A 20,505-nucleotide genomic window follows, 5' to 3' on the forward strand; every position below is an offset into this window, starting at 1 on the left:
GGTTAAGTACTGATGAGGGAAACATGGAAACCATTGAACATGAGATTTTTGCCTCACATTTGAGAAACAATTTAATTACAGAGATCAGACATTTACACAAGTAAGGCTAGACAATAGTACAAAATGATATGTGATTGGTGTCAAGTGAAGGGAAAAGCCAATAGGCTGCAGATTCTCAGAGGTTGGCAAAGTCATTCTGGAGCAGTGTAGCTGGGTAAGCCTTAGTATAGAATAGCACATTAAATCACCCAGGCACTTGGCAGGGATCTGGGGAAATGGGGAATAAAACATACCAGCTTTAATGGAGATAGTGAGGTGGACCGAGTCAGGTCAGGAACATATTCACACCTCTCTGCTTTGCTAGTCATTCAAATCCTTCAGGCCCCTCCTTTCCAGAGGGCTGATATATCCTCCATTGATCTACTTTGTCTCAGAACTTCTGTGCTGGGAATCCTGACTTACTCAGACTGCTAGGGAAGCAGTGTGGCTTAGTGGTTAGGAGAGTGTGTTCAAGAGCTAAGCTGCCTGGGTTTGAATGCTGGCTCTCATATTTACTAGTTGTGATCTTGGACAATTGACCTAATCATCATGTGAGTCAATTTTTCTTTTTTATTTATTTATTTATTTTGAGACAGAGTGTCTCTCTGCCACCCAGGCTGGAGTATAGTGGTGCGATCTTGGCTCACTGCAACCTCCGCTTCCTGGGTTCAAGCGATTCTCCTGTCTCAGCCTTCTGAGTAGCTGGAATTACAGGCCTGCACTACCACATCCAGCTAATTTTTGTGTTTTTAGTAGAGACCGGGTTTCTTCTAGGCTGGTCTTGAATTCCTGAGCTCAAGTGAACTGCCCACCTCGGACAAATCCCAAAGTGCTGGGATTACAGGCATGAGCCACTGCAGCTGGTCTCAATTTTTCTTATGGTAAAATAGGGATGATAATAATACTGTCTATCTAATAGAGTTGCTAAGAGGATTGAATGGGATAAGCCATGTCAGATACTTAGCACAGTGTGGGTTGTATGTTACTCATTCATTAAATATACATTTATGAAGTGTTGGTGATGTACCAATAATTTTTCTAGTGATGTAATACAGCAGTGAACAAGAGAGAGAAAGTCCTGCTCTCTTAGTACTGTGTTCAATGCTGATGGTGGAGGGGGATTCAGGCCCTTTACTCAAGGAACTTTTATTATCACATAGTGTCTTTGCTTTCTGCTCCATTTATTACAATTCTTAGTCCGTGAGTTATAATTAAGTTTATTTTCATTCTTTTTTGTTTAATTAGGCAAATATGAAAGCTATGAATTTCCTTTAGACTCAGCTTTGGCCATATGCCATTAGATTTGATGCTGAGTGTTTCTATTATTACTATTTCTAAGACATTTGCAATTTTGGTTTTGTTATGTACTATTTCTACTTTTTGGAAAGTGTTGAGGTATTCCAATTTTGATGATTTAGTTTTTTTTTGTCCCTACTATGTGCAGAATTCTGTGTTCCTAAAGAAGAGAGACAGTGAAGAGAGACCTGTCTGACTTGAGGGGTGTTTAGAAGGGGCTAGGGGAATACAGGACTGGAAAGACCATTGCCTGAGGGCATTGAGGTGCAAGCTTCACGGATTGGTTTCTTTTCTAATAACTACAGTTATTGAAAGTGTTGGGGTACAGAAAATAATTCCCCAAAATATGGCACTTAAGCATGCTGAGTGCTTAGAAAAATGGAAAGGCTGCTGGGTGCAGTGGCTCATGCCTGTAATCCTAGCACTTTGGGAGGCTGAGGTGGGCGGATTGCCTGAGCTCAGGAGTTCGAGACCAGCCTGGGCAACACGTTGAAATCCTGTCTCTACTAAAATACAAAAAATTAGCCAGGCGTGGCGGTGTGCACCTCTAGTCCCAGCTGCTCGGGAGGCTGAGGCAGGAGAGTTGCTTGAACCCAGGAGGCGGAGGTTGCAGTGAGCCGAGATTGTGCCACTGCACTCCAGCCTGGGTGACAGAGTGAGACTCCAACTCCAAAAAAAAAAAAAAGAAAAAAAGTGGAAAGGTCTCAAAAATAAGCCTCAGAACTGAGCTCTCTTTCTGACCTTTGTCCACCTCCCTGTCTCTCTGATCCTTTTTAAGGATACACCCTGAGGGACTCTCTGTAACTTCCTTATCTGAGTAAAGAAGCTTCTTTCCAAAAGAAATGCAATTGTCTTAAGACTCCCTCCCTAGAAATCTAATCAAATAACCAAGAAAGATCAACCATGGAGAAGAGATGGGCAGTCATCACCATGACCCGATGGACTTTTCATGTATTTGTCTGATGACAGCTGCAAGAGATTACCTAAGGGACTTTATCTGCATAATAAGAAAACATAAAGTGGGGGAAGGACACCCTTTTCAACAAATGGTGCTGGGATAATTGGCTAGCCACATGTAGGAGAATGAAACTGGATCCTCATCTCTCACGTTATACAAAAATCAACTCAAGATGGATTAAGGACTTAAACCTAAGACCTGAAACTATAAAAATTCTAGAAGATAACATTGGAAAAACCCTTCTAGGTATTGGCTTAGGCAAAGATTTCATGACCAAGAACCCAAAAGCAAATGCAATAAAAACAAAGATAAATTGCTGGAACTTAATTAAACTAAAGAGCTTTTGCACAGCAAAAGGAACAGGCAGCAGAGTTAACAAACAACCCACAGAGTGGGAAAAAAATCTTCACAATCTGTACATCTGACAAAGGACTAATATCCAGAATCCACAATGAAAATCTCAAGCAAATCAACAACAACAACAAAAACAATCCCATCAAAAAGTGGGCTAAGGACCTGAATAGACAATTCTCAAAAGAAGATATACAAATGGCCAACAAACATATGAAAAAATGCTCGACATCACTGATGATCAGGGAAATGCAAATCAAAACCACAGAGCGATACCACCTCACTCCTGCTAGAATGGCCATAATCAAAAAATAAAAAAAATAGTAGATGTTGGTGTGGATGCAGTGAACAGGGAACACTTCTATGCTGCTGCTGGGAATGTAAACTAGTACAACCACTATGGAAAACAGTGTGGAGATTCCTTAAAGAACTAAAAGTAGAACTATCATTTTATCCAGCAATCCCACTACTGGGTATCTACCCAGGGGAAAAGAAGTCATTATACGAAAAAGATAATTGCACACACATATTTATTGCAGAACAATTCACAATTGCAAAAACGTGGAACCAACCCAAATGCCCATCAATCAACAAGTGGATAAAGAAACTGTGGCATATATATATATATATTTATACAATGGAATACTACTCAGCCATAAAAAGGAATGAGTTGGCTGGGCGCGGTGGCTCACGCCTGTAATCCCAGCACTTTGGGAGGCCAAGGTGGGCAGATCACGAGGTCAGGAGATCAAGAACATCCTGGCTAACACAGTGAAACCCTGTCTCTACTACAAATACAAAAAAATTAGCCAGGCGTGGTGGCAGGCACCTGTAGTCCCAGCTACTCGGGAGGCTGAGGCAGGAGAATGGCATCAACCCAGGAGGTGGAGCTTGCAGTGAGCCGAGATCGCACCACTGCACTCCAGCCTGGGTGACAGAGTGAGACTCCATCTCAAAAAAAAAAAAGAATTAATTAATGGCATATGCAGCAACCTGGATGAGACTGGAGACCATTTTCCTAAGTGAAGTAATTCAGGAATGGAAAAACAAACATCATAGGTTCTCACTCATAAGTGGGAGCTAAGCTATAAGGATGCAAAGGCATAAGAATGACACAATGGACTCTGGGGACTCAGGGGACAAGGATGGGAAGGGGGAGAGGAATAAAAGACTACAAATAGGCTGCAGTATATACTGCTCAGGTGATGGGTGCACCAAAATCTCACAGATCACCACTAAAGAACTTACTCATGTAACCAAACACTACCTGCTCTGCAATAATCTATGGAAATTTAAGAACAAAAAAGACAGCATTAGTTCTTGTATAGTTCCACCCCTCACTTTCCCTTAACTTGTTGGCACCGTCCAGAGTCCAAAGATAATCATTTATAAAATAATGTTTGCCTCCCAGGTCCATTCATTTCTCCCTTATGAAGAAAGTATTTATGTCTCAAACATCTGACTTTTCTTTGAGCCTCAAACTTTGTGTATGGTTTCCATGTCCATATGCATGTTAATAAATTTTGTATGCCATTTTCTCCTATTAATCTGCCTATTGTAAGTTCATTTTTAGTGAACCTTTAGACAGCAGAAGGGAAGCTGCAAAAGGATGCACAGGAATGGCAGGCTCATATCCTATTTTAGGGAGAATAATGCTATTTAGGGAGAATAATGCCTTATTCTTGGGATATTATTGCTCGGGATTTGAGAGAGGGGAACATGCTAGAGACAAGGAGACCAGTCAGAAGAGCTTTATGTTAATCTAGGACAGCAGTTCTCAAACTTGATTGTACATGAGAATCCTCTGGAGGGCTTGTTGGGGCCCCACCCCAGAGTTTCTGATTCAATAGGGCTGTGGCAGAGGCCTGAGAATTTGCATTTCTAACAAGTACCCAGGTAATGCTGATGCTGCTAGTCAAGGGACCGCACTTTAGGAACCACTCATCTAAGAGAGAGATGTTGAGAACCAGAGCCAGACTGGTGAAAGACGAACTAGAGAGGAGAGAAAGTATATGAAAGATATTTGGAAGGAAGGAACCACAGGACTCGGGGATTGGACATGGGGGCAAGGGAGCCAGACAAATAAAAGATGACTTCAGAGTATCAAACCTAGGTGCCTTGGAGGATATGAGAATCACAGAGGCAAAATCCCAAACATTTGGAAGTGGAATGAAGTCACTTGACAGGTACTGGGAAAATATATGAGGCCTTATTCCATAAGCATCTGCACCATGGCACTCAAGTTTAAAGGCCTCCTGTGTTGTCTTCAGAGAGAGGCTAATGAGAAGTAGAAAGACCAAGTCTGTATTTTGTCTCTCCTTTTCTAGAATATAACCTTTGAGTAGAGGAGGAAACAGAAGATAGAAAGCAGGGTATACGAAAGTTAGAAGGGGCTTAAATAGTCTGGAAACAAAGAACACATCATTGGGTTGCTAAGTACATTCAGTGAGTACTGAATGTATATGGGCAAACACTAATAAGGAAAAGGTAAATCAGTAAAACTCAGCATGGGCCACGTAGGGTAGCTCCAGGATGCTACCTGAGATCACTGGTGCAATTTCTGAGATAGGGCATCTCAATTCCAGACCACCTAACCTTCCCTAGTTTCAGGGCTTCTGACCTGGTGCCCTGTTGTGCCTGGCTATTTCCCAGCCTATAGGAATTTCTCTTACCTGCTTCTCTCCGCTGGGCCGCCTGTAGCTGAGCAGAAGCTCCACAGCGCCCACCACTTCCTTGCGTATGGCATAGAGCAATGCATCACCCACATACACGCTGTGGTTCAGCAGTAGCTCCATGATCTCCAGGTTCTCGTTCTCAATGGCAATGAGCAGGGCACTCCGGCCCAAGGGGTCCATGCAGTTGATGTTAACATTATAGTAGATCTCAGCCTCCTGAAGGGCCTGCTTCACAGTGGCATAGTCCCCCTTCTCCACAGCATTGAGGAAGGCCTTCTCCTCTGCAGAGAGCTCTGTCTCAGCCCTCACAATTTGCAGGGGGATGCGGTCTCTGTACGGTGAGTAGTTGACCTTTTTGTAGTACAGTTGGGCCATGGTTCATAGCAATGCAGAAATCTGAGTGAGGAAACAGAGAAAGACCAAAATATCCTTAGATACGTGGAGGTCTCAAGTGGCCAGTTATGGAGGCAGCCCTGCTAAGGGGTTAGAAAATCCTAAACTACTTCAATGACGCCGTCTTTTTTCCGCTTACAAAGAAGTATAACAGAAAAAGCCCAGGCTTTGGGGTCAGGAAGACCTGGGCTTAAATCCTGGTTTTATGACTTACCAGTTCTGTGGCCTTGAGTAAGTTACTCAAGCCCTCTGTGCTTTATTTATTACTAAGGTTGATGATACTAAGGTTATCAATCTTAATAATATTACTCGCAGTTATCATTTAGTGACTGCTTACTGTGTGCCAGGTCCTGTGCTACACAATAATTCCTACCTCATAAAGCTATTGTGAGAGTTAAATAAGATATACATTATCAAAGCAACTGGCATAGGGTAAACCTCCTAAGACATGGCATAAGCTAATTCCTACCTTCCTTCTCTTCTGGTGCCTGAAAATATTCATGGTAACACTTCTGATTAGTGATGCAAAGTTGGAAATCTTCTTTGGCCAATTTCCTTCAGGCTCTAGGTCTCTGGTCCTATGCTAATTTTCAGGATTACATTTGTAACTGTCCCACATGCACATCCTGGATTGAAATCCTATTTCAGTTCTAACTGCAACCCTGCTTCTTGCTGCTGCTCAATGGGGAAAGGGGTATTGACTCCAATAGGCCAAAGCCAACTGCAAAAGATAAACATGTACCCTCTGTGCCTGCTCATGATTTTTTCCTCTGCCATTTCAAATGAAAAGCTAACAGATCTGAGAATCTGTATGATTAAATTCTGATAAGTGAATGGTCTGTTTTATTTGTATCATACCTAAATCCAGGTTATATTTAATAGAATTAGTTTTAAAGTAAAAACCTAGTTATTGAGCTCCTACAATGTGTTTAAACTGTCTCTGGGAGACAAAGGTAAAAAGATAGCCTTTGTCTTCAATCACATAGAATGAATCGCAGTATAGAGCTCTTGCCTCATAGTTTACAGGTAAAATTTATACACATTCCTCATTAACTCCCTGTAGCATCCCTGTGAGATGGGAATGATTATCTTCTCCAAGGGAGAAAATGAGGCTCAGATCTATTAGGTGTTGGCTCCACTTTTCCCCTCATCCCTGAGGCCTCCAGGCCACTCTGGAGGCTGAGTTAGGATGGACCTATTCCAGTGTCTTTCATTACTTAACTGTTTTGCCAGCTAAAGGACATGGAAATGTGCTAAAGAGCCCCTTTTCTCACCTTCTGGATGTAAGAAAAGATAAAGACATGAAGCTTCCACCAACATTTACCTCAGTCTTCCAGGTAATGACATCCCTGCTTTGGCAGAGGGAGAGGCCTACCTTATATCAAGTGGTATTTGCAATTCATGTGCTTGTGTCTTTCTGGGAAGTTAGTATTTGAAGATGAGTGTTGCCTCTTGCCCTGAGCAGGCCCAAATGACAAATTTCTCTCCACATCTAAATCCCAAGAGAACAGGGTGCTGTTTCACTGCCTCAAGACCCAAATGACAAATCTCTCTCCACATCTAAATCCCAAGAGAAGAGGGTGCTGTTTCACTGCCTGAAGAAGCACTGATACATTCTTCCACTACTTTCAAGTAAAGTGAAAGTAGTGAAAGTGGCTAAACAAACAGCACTTAGAGTAAGCATTTGCCAATACACAGCACAAAACTTTAATGATACTAATTGTAGACTGCCTCTGTGCCTTTACCTTGTAAACAAAAATGAGTGGGGGAGAGAAGGGATAGTGTGACCTCCTAAAGTGAGGACCAACAACCCAATTAGCTTCTATTTATTTAATCAATACAAACACACTGAGAGCCTCTATTGTGTCTAGCACTCTGCTAGCCCCTGCTAGGGGATAGGAAACAATACAACCCTGCTCATTGAAGGCTGGAGGCCTCACAGAAAGTTTCATAAAGATGGTAGCTCTTAGGCTAATCCTTGGAGGATGAATTAAACATGAAAGTGTGGGGGCAGTCCAGGCACTGCCGAGTGCAACAAGAAAGATGAGATCAGTTATGGCCTAGTTGGGTGATGGGTTGGGGGGAATGCAAGGGGTCTTATTTTTTCAGCTTAATAGGATATAGGGATTAGAGGTGAGCTAACATTCCAAGGCAATAGCTCATAATCTTGGTATCCTCATCTGAAAAATGGTCTTGAACACTTGCTGCCCATTTGCCATTTAAGAGGCTACCATGGAAGAAAAGGCTAGATGTCCTTTCAGATGGTGTCACTGGTGGTGTTACTGGTATAGGAAGCATTACTGCTACAGGAAGATCTGCAACCCCTTTAGTAAGGCACAGTTGTGGGGGGAAGCAGAAGAATATTGTATCCCAGGGAAAGGTGAGAATGAAGGAAACTAACTCAATCGGTGTCCTATTATGTGCCAGGCACTGTGCCAGAAGCTGGGGCAATAAAGTTATAAAAATAATCATTAGTTTTGAATACTTAATGTGGCTCAGGCATGGTGCCAGGTACTGGAGTGGCACTATTACTACCACTGCCTCTAATGGTAATCATAATGAAGGCAACAAGCAGTACCATTCATTGAACTCTCACTATGTGCCAGATGCATGGGTTAAAGTAGTGAAGAGAGACAACAGTAAAATCATGGTAATTTGTAACTTGAGGCAAGTATAATCGGATGATATATAGTCAGTTCAAAGTCCAGTTTTAATTTTCATCTCTTGCATTTGGAATTAGTCTGGTCTATGTAATTTTCCAGTGGGCTCTGTTGTAAGAGGCTTCAATAGTATTCCTCTTTAGAAAAAATAAATCTACAAAGGTTTGCCTGAGATTTTACCATTAGAGTCACTCTTGCTTTAAGGGACTACATTGCCAAAACTACCCCTGGATGAAATAATAAATCACATGGCTAAAAACTAGTAATATATTAACATGAATTCCCTCATTAGGAACGTTGCTGTGACTTTGGAATTAAAGCAATGTCTGGCTAAAAGAATGCGGGTGAAGTGATGGAGGGTAAAGGAGAGGTCTGGTATCCAGCCTTGGAAAACTCTGTTAAATAGTTATGCCCAGCTCTATACTACGAATAAAGAATAATGCAAAAATGGATTTCCTGCATTGTCTGTTGACATGCAGACTCACATAGCTGTCTAATGACTTGCCTAATTCTTTGCCCTTTTCCAATCCCCCACAGCTGCAGCCACTTGACCCTCACTCATAGCTTTAGCCTCAGCCTCACTCCAGGCTCAGAGGCCAATCCTTTCTCTGCATGCTTGCTGTTAGGCCTACTCTGCCATTATTCTGAGAATAAGTAACTAGTGATGGAGTTTCTGGTATCTTTTAAGAATGTATTATTTGGAAGGTTTTTCCCCATGACCCTTTACCTTTATACTTGGCAGATGCACTAATCTGCCATTAACCAAAGCTAAGCCTCTAGGTATATTCTTAACCAAAGAAACAAAACCTGCCAGTATTTCTTGCCATTCTGCCAGTGAACCCGCTCGCAATGTAGTTCTCCAACCATGAAAGATTAAGAATTGTCTAACAGGCTGCCTCAGAGGGCTTATCATGTTCCCTCTTTTCTTTGCTGCTGGCCAGAGGCGTTTGTCTAATAGAATCTGTGACATTTGTGGGCTTAAATGATGCGATTCAAAGAGCTAAATCGATGGACTTGGCAGAAGGCCAGGGCACAAAATGGCTTTGGCAAATCCCAGCCCAGATTTCTGCCCAGCATAAGACTTCATCTGTGAGGAGGAAAGGCTGGCTTTCTACCTAACTAAGAAAACATCAGTGCCTTCAGAGTGTCGTGGTATCTGTGCATGGCTTGCACCACGTGTCATGAAGACTGAAGCTTAAATGGTAAAACCCTTGTGACCTCTCACAATTTTCCAAACTTATCTGTCCAGTTGTTTATCTCTCCAGGGCCTTTCTAAGGCAAGTAAATTTAATCTGATAAATTTGTACGATCTCAGGTGTGAATGACTGGTAACACATTGAATAAATAATTCTTAATATATACCGGGCACTATAATAGAAGCTGATGATAATGGCTGAGTGGCTTAAAACCATACTTCTCCTAGGAAAAAAAATAATATTTGAACAGGGACCTTGAATGAGCAGTCCAAAAAGTGCCTATAGTGGAAATTTCTTGTATAAAAGCACAGGGGTGGGCTGGTCGTGGGAAAGTTATGGGGTTGTTGATTTTGAGAGCATTTTGGCTTGAGATTATCACTTTGAGAACTAATTTTAATGTAGTGACACTATTCTTTCCCTGAAAGGTCCAGATCTTGAACCTCCTGCAAAGAACTCCAAAGTCCATCTAGAATAACCCCCAGCCCAATGAAAAAGTCCCCTTGACAGTATCCTTGTTAAGTGGTTGTTCGGTTAATCAGCACCTCCACAGATGGAAAACTCACCACTTCCTCACCTGCGTGGTGAACACTGACTTTCAGCAAATACTCTCCTATGTTCAGCTGAAATCACCTGCCTATAACCTTTATCCCCTGGCCCAAGTTCTGCTCTCTAGAGCAGCATCAAGCAAAGCTCCCCTTTATTACACATGACAACTTTCAAATGTTTAATGTCAGCAGTAATGTAGTCCTCTACCTAACCATTCTCAGTTTCTTCAGTCATTCTTATTAGATACTTTCCAGATTTTGGAGCATCCTACTGGTCTGCTTCTAGTTATAAAGTACTTTGTTTCTCTTAAAGTGTAATGTTCAGAAGTGAACATAGTGCTCTAGAAATGGTCAGATCAGCACAGATTATACTGTGGCTTTTTGTTTTTTAGTCCATTCATTCATTCAGCAATGCTTTGTTGAGGTGATAGTGCTGCAACATCTTGGTTCAGGAGGTACTTTAAACAGTTCTGTATAGTAATATATTTGCAGTAGTTTGTTTTTCATGTGTATAAATCTTGTCAATCTAATTATTTCCTTAATTTATAAATAAGGTAAGACTCAACACTTATTCTGTGCCGGATACTGTGTGTGCTAAATGTTTTGTATACATTATTTAAATTAATACTCACTTTTAGACAGTTACCACTGTTATCTCCCACCTTACAGATAAGGAACCTGAAGCACAGAGAGGTTAAGTAATTTTTTAAGGTCACGCAGCTAGTAAGTGGTGGGAATGGGATTGGAGTCAAGCTTCTGGCACCAGAGTCTACATTCCTGACTACTTCAATGAAGGCAGATTCTTTTGTATGCTCCACAAAATCTATGAGAGTGCCAGCAATAGTAGATATTCAGTGTTTCAGTTCAATAAGTGCTTGCTGTGCATCTACTATTTGTCACGCCCAGAGCACTTGGTAGTAGGGAACACAAATATGCATATATAAATGACATTGCCCTTGCCATCAAGCAACTCCAAGTCCAGAGGGGGAGACAAAAATGTAAATAAGTTAAACATAGTGCAGGGTGATAGATATTCTAATTGATAGTATGGATACAAAGAAGGAAGTATTCAACTTTAAGTGTTAGAGATAAGGGAAGGCATCACAGAGGAAGTAATATCTGAGCTGTGTCTTGAAGGGTTGATAAGAGTTTCCTACATAGCAATGATCTAGGGATGGTCTTTCTAGATTGTAGACACAGCATGTGCTCAGATGTGGGTATATAAAACACAATGGTATTTAAGAACACACTGGCCTTCTATCTGCTCTTTAAACCTGTCAAACATGTGATCACATAGGGGTCCTTACACTTTAGTCCTCTTCCATAAAGCTGCACATTTTCCTTCCTATTGTATAGTTTCAGAACAAATGTCCTCTCTTCAGTGAAGCCTTTCAAGACCACGCTTTCAAGCCCCACACATGTCATTCTACATCTCACTATCCTAGCTTCATTTCCATCTACATTTTTTTCAAGGTAAGTTCTTCAAGAACTTATAATTATTTGAATTGACTACATTTTTATTTGTTCACTATTTTAACATTTGGCTCTCCCAACCCAAATGTAAACTCCATAATAGCCAGAACCTCATCAGTCATGTTCACTATTTTATTCCCAGTACCTGGCACATAGTAAGCTCCCAATAAATATGTATTGAATTATTCCATGAAAGAATGGTGGGGATAGAGATGGGAGAATGCTCTGTTGGCAGAGCCCTGCTTTTGTTTGTGAGATTAACCACATCCCCACGCAGTCATGGGCTCGGGCAAGAAGCCCCTCCTTCACCTCAAGGACTGAGTCTTAATTAGTCTAAGGCTAAGTTATTAGGTTGGTGCAAAAGTGATTGCCTTTTGTGAATCTACAAATCCGAGAAATTCAAAGACCTCCAAGAAGGAAAAACTGAAAGAAATTCCCACTGATACACACTACAATCAAACTGTCAAAAGCCAAAGACAGAGAATCTTGAAATCAGTGAGGGAAGTGACTTGTTACATACAAGTGATGCTCAATAAAATTAACATCCAATTTCTCTTCAGAAACCACACACAGAGATCCAAATTCAGTAGATGATAAGCGCTAAAAGAAATAAAATATCTTCAATCAAGAGTTCTATATCCTGCAAAATGATTCTTCTAAAATGAAGGCAAAAGTAAGACATTCTTAGACAAAAGCTGAGGAAGTTTGTTGTTTACTGACCTGTCCAACAATAGATGCTAAAGGGAGTCCTTGAGATTGGATTGCAATTTGAAGCCATATGAAGAAATAAAGAACGCTGATAAATGTAACTGCATAGCTAAATTTAAAAGCCAGTATTATTGTACTTTTGGTTTGTAAGCCCTATTTTTTTCTACATGATTTAAAAGACAAATGCATGAAACCAAAATTATGAATCTATGTTAGTGGACACATATGATATAAAAAAGTTGTGACAATAACAACATAAAGGAAAAGAGAGCTGCATAGGAACAGAGTTATTTATACTATTTAAGCTATGTTATTAATTCAAGCCAGTTTGCTATATATTTAAGATGTTAATTTTAACCTCCATGGTAGCTACTAAGAAAATAACTAAGAAATAGCTAGAATAGGAAATGAGAAGTGAATTAAAATGATACACTACAAAAAGTCAAACACAAAAGAAGGTATTAATGAAGGAATTGAAGAACAAAAAATATATGACATATAGAAAACAAATGGCAAAATGGCAGAAGCAAGTCCAGTAGTTACAATTCAAAGGATTTGGGTGAGGGCGATGGGACATAATCATGTCACATTTGGATATGTTGGTGTTTGAGGCTTTCTTTGGGGTGGGGGACATCAGGAGGAGATCCAGTCAGCATCTGAAGCTTATCATTGAGAGCTAGTAATATAAAATTGGGAATCATTGCATATTGATCAAAGGTTCTCAACCCTGGCTACATATTAAATACCCTTTTACAAATATCCATGCTTAGGTCACCCCTCCTCTCCACAATGACATTTTAAAATAGCTCCCCAGGTGAACCTAACATGCAGCCAGGATGATGTATCATATTATAAGTGGTAACTGGAGCTGTTAGGAATTGATATGATCACGAGGGAGAATGCAAAGAGATCAGGGGAACTGGAAAAGAAATTTCTACTTAGGATGGTAGTCTAGCACGCTGTCTAGTACAGTAGCCACTAGCCACAAGTGGCTATTTAAATTTAAATAAATTAAAATGAAATAAATTCAATTCCTCAGTTGCATCATCCACATTTTAAGCACTCAATAGCTACATGTGGCTCACGGTTACTGTACTGGAAAGTATAGACATAAAACATTTTCATCATTGTGGAAAGTTTTATTGGATAGTGCCAAATGACCCAAATTTCTCTTCTGACTCTAAAAGGACTATAATACAGGGGACTCTTTCAATTTTAAGGTTAAAAATGCAGTGCCTATGTTAAAATGTCAGTACTTTCATTTGAATAATGTATTTTCATGGCTATAAACACGTGTGATTTTATTTTTGTAAGCTTTTTCCTCTCCTTCTCTCCAATGTCCAGGGGAGGTTTGTATAACCACTGACATCTGGATGAAATCAATATATTTTATTTTCACTGAGGTGAAGACATAAGTAAAAAGTTATATATTTGTTTCCCTTAAGTCATTCAGCTGCATGGGGGATTTTAAATCTGTTGCTCAACACTCATTATCACTTTGTCTGCGTGATATTCTTTGAAGTAGTCAAGGTAAAAGCAGAATGGAAACACACTGAAACAGCAAATAATAAGCAGCGTAATTCGTTAAAAGTCTTGCATTTCATTACTAGTCTTGGATTGTCTTTAATCCCAGATCCCACAGGCCATCAGAAATGAGCCTGTCCCATTTCCGTTGCCCCTTTACTTTGGAATGTAATATGACAATGTTCACACAGGAGCTTATTGGCCAAACTTCCTTAAATGGGACAAAGGGACTACTTTACAAAATTGTTTTATTTTATTATTTAATTAATTAATTATTATTATTATTATTTTTGAGACAGAGTCTCACTCTGTTGCCCAGTGCAGTGGTGCGATCTCGGCTCACTACAACCTCCATCTCCCAGGTTCAAGTGATTCTTCTGCCTCAACCTCCCGAGTAGTTGGGACTACAGGCATGCACTACTATGCCCGGCTAAGTTTTGTATTTTTAGTGCAGACGAGGTTTCACCATATTGGCAAGGCTGGTCTCAAACTCCTGATCTCGTGATCTGTCTGCCTTGGCCTCCCAAAGTGCTGGGATTACAGGCGTCAGCCAACGTGCCCGGCCTACAAAATTGTTTTTAAATGATAACAGTTAGGGAATCTGGATGAAAGGTACATGGGAGTTCTTTTTACTATTTTTGTAATTTTTCTATGTGTCTGAAATTATTTCAAAACAAAAATTGCAAAAAATTACTTAAACCAGCAAATCATGAATACATAAAATAAAACTATATGGCTTAAAATAAATCTTTCCAGTCTTCTTCCCCTATGCATTTTTAAATTAACTCATCCTTAATACACATTTTTCTACCCAGTTTTCTTTACTTAATATTGTGTAGGAATTTTTCATACATAATTATCTGTAATAACACTCTTTGCATATACTGCCCTTCCCACCACCAATTTCTCTTGTGGGGAAGTAGCTCTGACAGGTGAGATTGAGATAGTATGCTTTCTACCATTCTGTGTTAAAATACTCTACTAAAATGGCTACATAATGTTTCATTCGGTCATGTCAGGTATACTACAATGTATTTAACTAGTCTCAAGCTTGGGAATATTTAAGATTTCTTTCATTGATCTATATTATTGTAAATGAAGCTGAGAGAGATATTTCTGTACATAAAGATCTTCACATATATCCAGGTTATTTGCTCAGTATAGCTTCCTAGAAGTCAAATTACTGGACCAAAACCTGGCAGCATTTTTAAAGCTCTCAACACATACTGCTGAACTTCTTCCTAAATTATTTTATTGATTTAACAGCAGTGGCTTTCTAAGGGGAATGAAAACATATCAGAAATCCCAGGAAACAATCAACAGTTGACTGGATTTAAAAAAATGTGGAATAGTATGTAGACATAAAAAGAAAGAAATCATGTCCTTTGCAGCAACATGGAGGGAGCTGGAGGCCATTATCCTAAGTGAACTAACTCAGAAACAGAAAACCAATACCACATGTTCTCATTTCTAATTGGGAACTAAACAGTGGACACACATGAACATAAAGATGGAAATAATAGACACTGGGACTCCAGAAATGGGGATGATAGAAGGGGAATGAGGGTTGAAAAAATATCTATCAGGTAGGGTTCACTATTTGGATAATGGGTACACTAGAAGCCCATTCCCCACCAGTACCCATGTAACAAACAAGCACATGTATCCCCAAATCTAAATAAAATTAAAAAAAGAAATCCCAGGAAACAGAAGTGAACCTCAGTTTCTTCATGTACAATGTATGATTTATGATCCAAAGTCCCTTCCCCTCTCATATAGTCTTAAGATTCTCTGATTCTGTAATAGATGAAAAATATGTCATGAATGAAGTACATTTAAGATGTTCCAATAGATGATACTTCCATCTTGTGGGAAAGAAAGATTGAGGAACCCTTCAAATGATGGCCTGCAGATGTGGTAAAACTACAAGAGAACCAGAATTCGAAGTGGAGCCTGAAGATGTGACTGAATTGCTGCAATCTCATAAAACTTTAACGCATGAAGAGTTGCTTCTTATGGATAAGCAAATAAAGTGGTTTCTTGAGATGGAATATATTCCTGTTGAAGAGGCTGTGAAACATTGTTGAAATGACACTAACAGATTTAGCATATTACATAAACTTAGTTGATAAAACAGTGGCAGGGTTTGAGAAGATTGATTCCAAAACTGAAAGAAGTTTTACTGCAGGTAAAATGTTATCAAACAGCATCTCATGCTACAGAGAAATCTTTTATGAAAGGAAGAGTCAATCGATGTGGCAAACTTAATTGTTGTCTTATTTTAAGAAATTGCCGGGGGTGGAGCCAAGATGGCCGAATAGGAACAGCTCCAGTCTACAGCTCCCAATGTGAGTGATGCAGAAGATGGGTGATTTCTGCATTTCCATCTGAGGTACCGGGTTGATCTCACTAAGGAGTGCCAGACAGTGGGAGCAGAACAGTGGGTGCAGCGTACCATGTGCGAGCCGAAGCAGGGCGAGGCATTGCCTCACTCGGACAGCGCAAGGGGTCAGGGAGTTCCCTTTCCTAGTCAAAGAAAGGGGTGACAGATGGCACCTGGAAAATCGGGTCACTCCCACCCTAATACTGCGCTTTTCAACAGGCTTAAAAAATGGCACACCAGGAGATTATATCCCGCACATGGCTCAGAGGGTCCTACGCCCACAGAGTCTTGCTGATTGCTAGCACAGCCATTTGAGATCAAACTGCAAGGTGGCAGTGAGGCTGGGGGAGGGGCGCCTGCCATTGCCCAGGCTTGATTAGGTAAACAAAGCAGCCGGGAAGCTCGAACTGGGTGGAGCCCACCACAGCTCAAGGAGGCCTTCCTGCCTCTGTAGGCTCCACCTCTGGGGGCAGGGCACAGACAAACAAAAAGACAGCAGTAACCTCTGCAGACTTAAATGTCCCTGTCTGACAGCTTTGAAGAGAGTAGTGGTTCTCCCAGCACGCAGCTGGAGATCTGAGAACGAGCAGACTGCCTCCTCAAGTGGGTCCCTGACACCTGACAAGCCTAACTGGGAGGCACCCCCCAGTAGGGACAGACTGACACCTCACACGGCCGGGTACTCTTCTGAGACAAAACTTCCAGAGGAACAATCAGGCAGCAGCATTTGCGGTTCACCAATATCCGCTGTTCTACAGCCACCGCTGCTGATACCCAGGCAAATAGGGTCTGGAGTGGACCTCTAGCAAACTCCAACAGAGCTGCAGCTGAGGGACCTGTCTGTTAGAAGGAAAACTAACAAACAGAAAGGACATCCACACCAAAAACACATCTATACGTCAACATCATCAAAGACCAAAAGAAGATAAAACCACAAAGATGGGGAAAAAACAGAGGAGAAAAACTGGAAACTCTAAAAACCAGAGCACCTCTCCTCCTCCAAAGGAACGCAGCTCCTCACCAGCAATGGAACAAAGCTGGACGGAGAATGACTTTGACGAGTTGAGAGAGGAAGGCTTCAGACGATCAAACTACTCCGAGCTACAGGAGGAAATTCAAACCAATAGCAAAGAAGTTAAGAACTTTGAAAAAAAATTAGACGAATGGATACCTAGAATAACCAATGCAGAGAAGTCCTTAAAAGAGCTGATGGAGCTGAAAGCCAAGGCTCGAGAACTACGTGAAGAATGCAGAAGCCTCAGGAGCTGATGCGATCAACTGGAAGAAAGGGTATCAGTGATGGAAGACGAAATGAATGAAATGAAGCGAGAAGGGAAGGTTAGAGAAAAAAGAATAGAAAGAAATGAACAAAGCCTCCAAGAAATATGGGACTATGTGAAAAGACCAAATCTACGTCTGATTGGTATACCTGAAAGTAACAGGGAGAATGGAACCAAGTTGGAAAACACTCTTCAGGATATTATCCAGGAGAGTTTCCCCAATCTAGCAAGGCAGGCCAACATTCAGATTCAGGAAATACAGAGAACGCCACAAAGATACTCCTCGAGAAGAGCAACTCCAAGGCACATAATTGTCAGATTCACCAAAGTTGAAATGAAGGAAAAAATGTTAAGGGCAGCGAGAGAGAAAGGTGGGGTTACCCACAAAGGGAAGCTCATCAGACTAACAGCGGATCTCTTGGCAGAAACTCTACAAGCCAGAAGAGAGTGGGGGCCAATATTCAACACCCTTAAAGAAAAGAATTTTCAACCCAGAATTTCATATCCAGCCAAACTAAGCTTCATAAGTGAAGGAGAAATAAAATACTTTACAGACAAGCAAATGCTGAGAGATTTTGTCACCACCAGGCCTGCCCTAAAAGAGCTCCTGAAGGAAGCACTAAACATGGAAAGGAACAACCGGTACCAGCCACTGCAAAAACATGCTAAAATGTAAAGACCATCAAGGCTAGGAAGAAACTGCATCAACTAACGAGCAAAATAACCCGCTAACATCAAAATGACAGGACCAAATTCACACATAACAATATTAACTTTAAATGTAAATGGGCTAAATGCTCCAGTTAAAAGACACAAACTGGCAAATTGGATAAAGAGTCAAGACCCATCAGCGTGCTGTATTCAGGAAACCCATCTCACGTGCAGAGACACACATAGGCTCAAAATAAAGGGATGGAGGAAGGTCTACCAAGCAAATGAAAAACAAAAAAAGGCAGGGGTTGCAATCCTAGTCTCTGATAAAACAGACTTTAAAACAACAAAGATCAAAGAGACAAAGAAGGCCATTACATAATGGTAAAGAGATCAATTCAACAAGAAGAGCTAACTATCCTAAATATATATGCACCCAATACAGGAGCACCCAAATTCATAAAGCAAGTCCTTAGTGACCAACAAAGAGACTTAGACTCCCACACAATAAAAATGGGAGACTTTAACACCCCACTGTCAACATTAGACAGATCAACGAGACAGAAAGTTAAAAAGTATATCAAGGAATTGAACTCAGCTCTGCACCAAGTGGACCTAATAGACATCTACAGAACTCTCCACCCCAAATCAACAGAATATACATTTTTTTCAGCACCACACCACACCTATTCCAAAGTTGACCACATAGTTGGAAGTGAAGCACTCCTCCGCAAATGTAAAAGAATAGAAATTATAACAAACTGTCTCTCAGACTACAGTGCAATCAAACTAGAACTCAGGATTAAGAAACTCATTCAAAACCACTCAACTACATGGAAACTGAACAACCTGCTCCTGAATGACTACTGGGTACATAACGAAATGAAGGCAGAAATAAAGATGTTCTTTGAATCCAACGAGAACAAAGACACAACATACCAGAATCTCTGGGACACATTCAAAGCAGTGTGTAGAGGGAAATTTATAGCACTAAATGCCCACAAGAGAAAGCAGGAAAGATCCAAAATTGACACCCTAACATCACAATTAAAAGAACTAGAAAAGCAAGCAAGAGCAAACACATTCAAAAGCTAGCAGAAGGCAAGAAGTAACTAAAATCAGAGCAGAACTGAAGGAAATAGAGACACAAAAAACCCTTCAAAAAATTAATGAATCCAGGAGCTGGTGTTTTGAAAAGATCAACAAAATTGATAGACTGCTAGCAAGACTAATAAAGAAGAAAAGAGAGAAGAATCAAATAGATGCAATAAAAAATGATAAAGGGGATATCACCACCGATCCCAAAGAAATACAAACTACCATCAGAGAATACTACAAACACCTCTACGCAACTAAACTAGAAAATCTAGAAGAAATGGATAAATTCCTCAACACATACACCCTCCCAAGACTAAACCAGGAAGAAGTTGAACCTCTGAATAGACCAATAACAGGATCTGAAATTGTGGCAATAATCAATAGCTTACCAACCAAAAAGAGTCCAGGACCAGATGGATTCACAGCCGAATTCTACCAGAGATACAAGGAGGAACTGGTACCATTCCTTCTGAAACTATACCAATCAATCGAAAAAGAGGGAATCCTCCCTAACTCATTTGATGAGGCCAGCATCATCCTGATACCAAAGCCGGGCAGAGACACAACCAAAAAAGAGAATTTTAGACCAATATCCTTGATGAACATTGATGCAAAAATCCTCAATAAAATACTGGCAAACCGAATCCAGCAGCACATCAAAAAGCTTATCCACCATGATCAAGTGGGCTTCATCTCTGGGATGCAAGGCTGGTTCAACATATGCAAATCAATAAATGTAATCCAGCATATAAACAGAACCAAAGACAAAAACCACATGATTATCTCAATAGATGCAGAAAAGGCTTTTGACAAAATTCAACAACTCTTCATGCTAAAAACTCTCAATAAATTAGGTATTGATGGGACGTATCTCAAAATAATAAGAGCTATCTGTGACAAACCCGCAGCCAATATCATACTGAATGGGCAAAAACTGGAAGCATTCCCTTTCAAAACTGGCACAAGACAGGGATGCCTCTCTCACCACTCCTATTCAACATAGTGTTGGAAGTTCTGGCTAGGGCAATTAGGCAGGAGAAGGAAATAAAGGGTATTCAATTAGGAAAAGAGGAAGTCAAATTGTCCCTGTTTGCAGATGACATGATTGTATATCTAGAAAACCCCATCATCTCAGCCCAAAATCTCCTTACACTGATAAGCAACTTCAGCAAAGTCTCAGGATACAAAATCAGTGTACAAAAATCACAAGCATTCTTATAAACCAATAACAGACAAACAGAGAGCCAAATCATGAGTGAACTCCCATTCACAATT

At 40.5% G+C, this 20,505-nt stretch overlaps 1 protein-coding gene across 3 annotated transcripts in view; it reads right to left on the reverse strand.

Moving 5' to 3' along the window:
- TRPC5 (transient receptor potential cation channel subfamily C member 5) overlaps positions 1 to 20,505 on the reverse strand; it is a 314,766-nt gene that overhangs the window by 178,716 nt on the left and 115,545 nt on the right. For all 3 annotated transcript variants that reach the window (NM_012471.3, XM_017029774.2, XM_047442413.1), the window contains one exon: positions 5,317 to 5,715. In NM_012471.3, the coding sequence (NP_036603.1) occupies positions 5,317 to 5,694 (378 nt within the window). In that variant the 5' untranslated portion in view covers positions 5,695 to 5,715. The remainder of the gene's footprint in view (positions 1 to 5,316; positions 5,716 to 20,505) is intronic.

Source organism: Homo sapiens, chromosome X (genome assembly GCF_000001405.40).
Source record: "Homo sapiens chromosome X, GRCh38.p14 Primary Assembly".
NCBI lineage: Eukaryota > Metazoa > Chordata > Mammalia > Primates > Hominidae > Homo > Homo sapiens.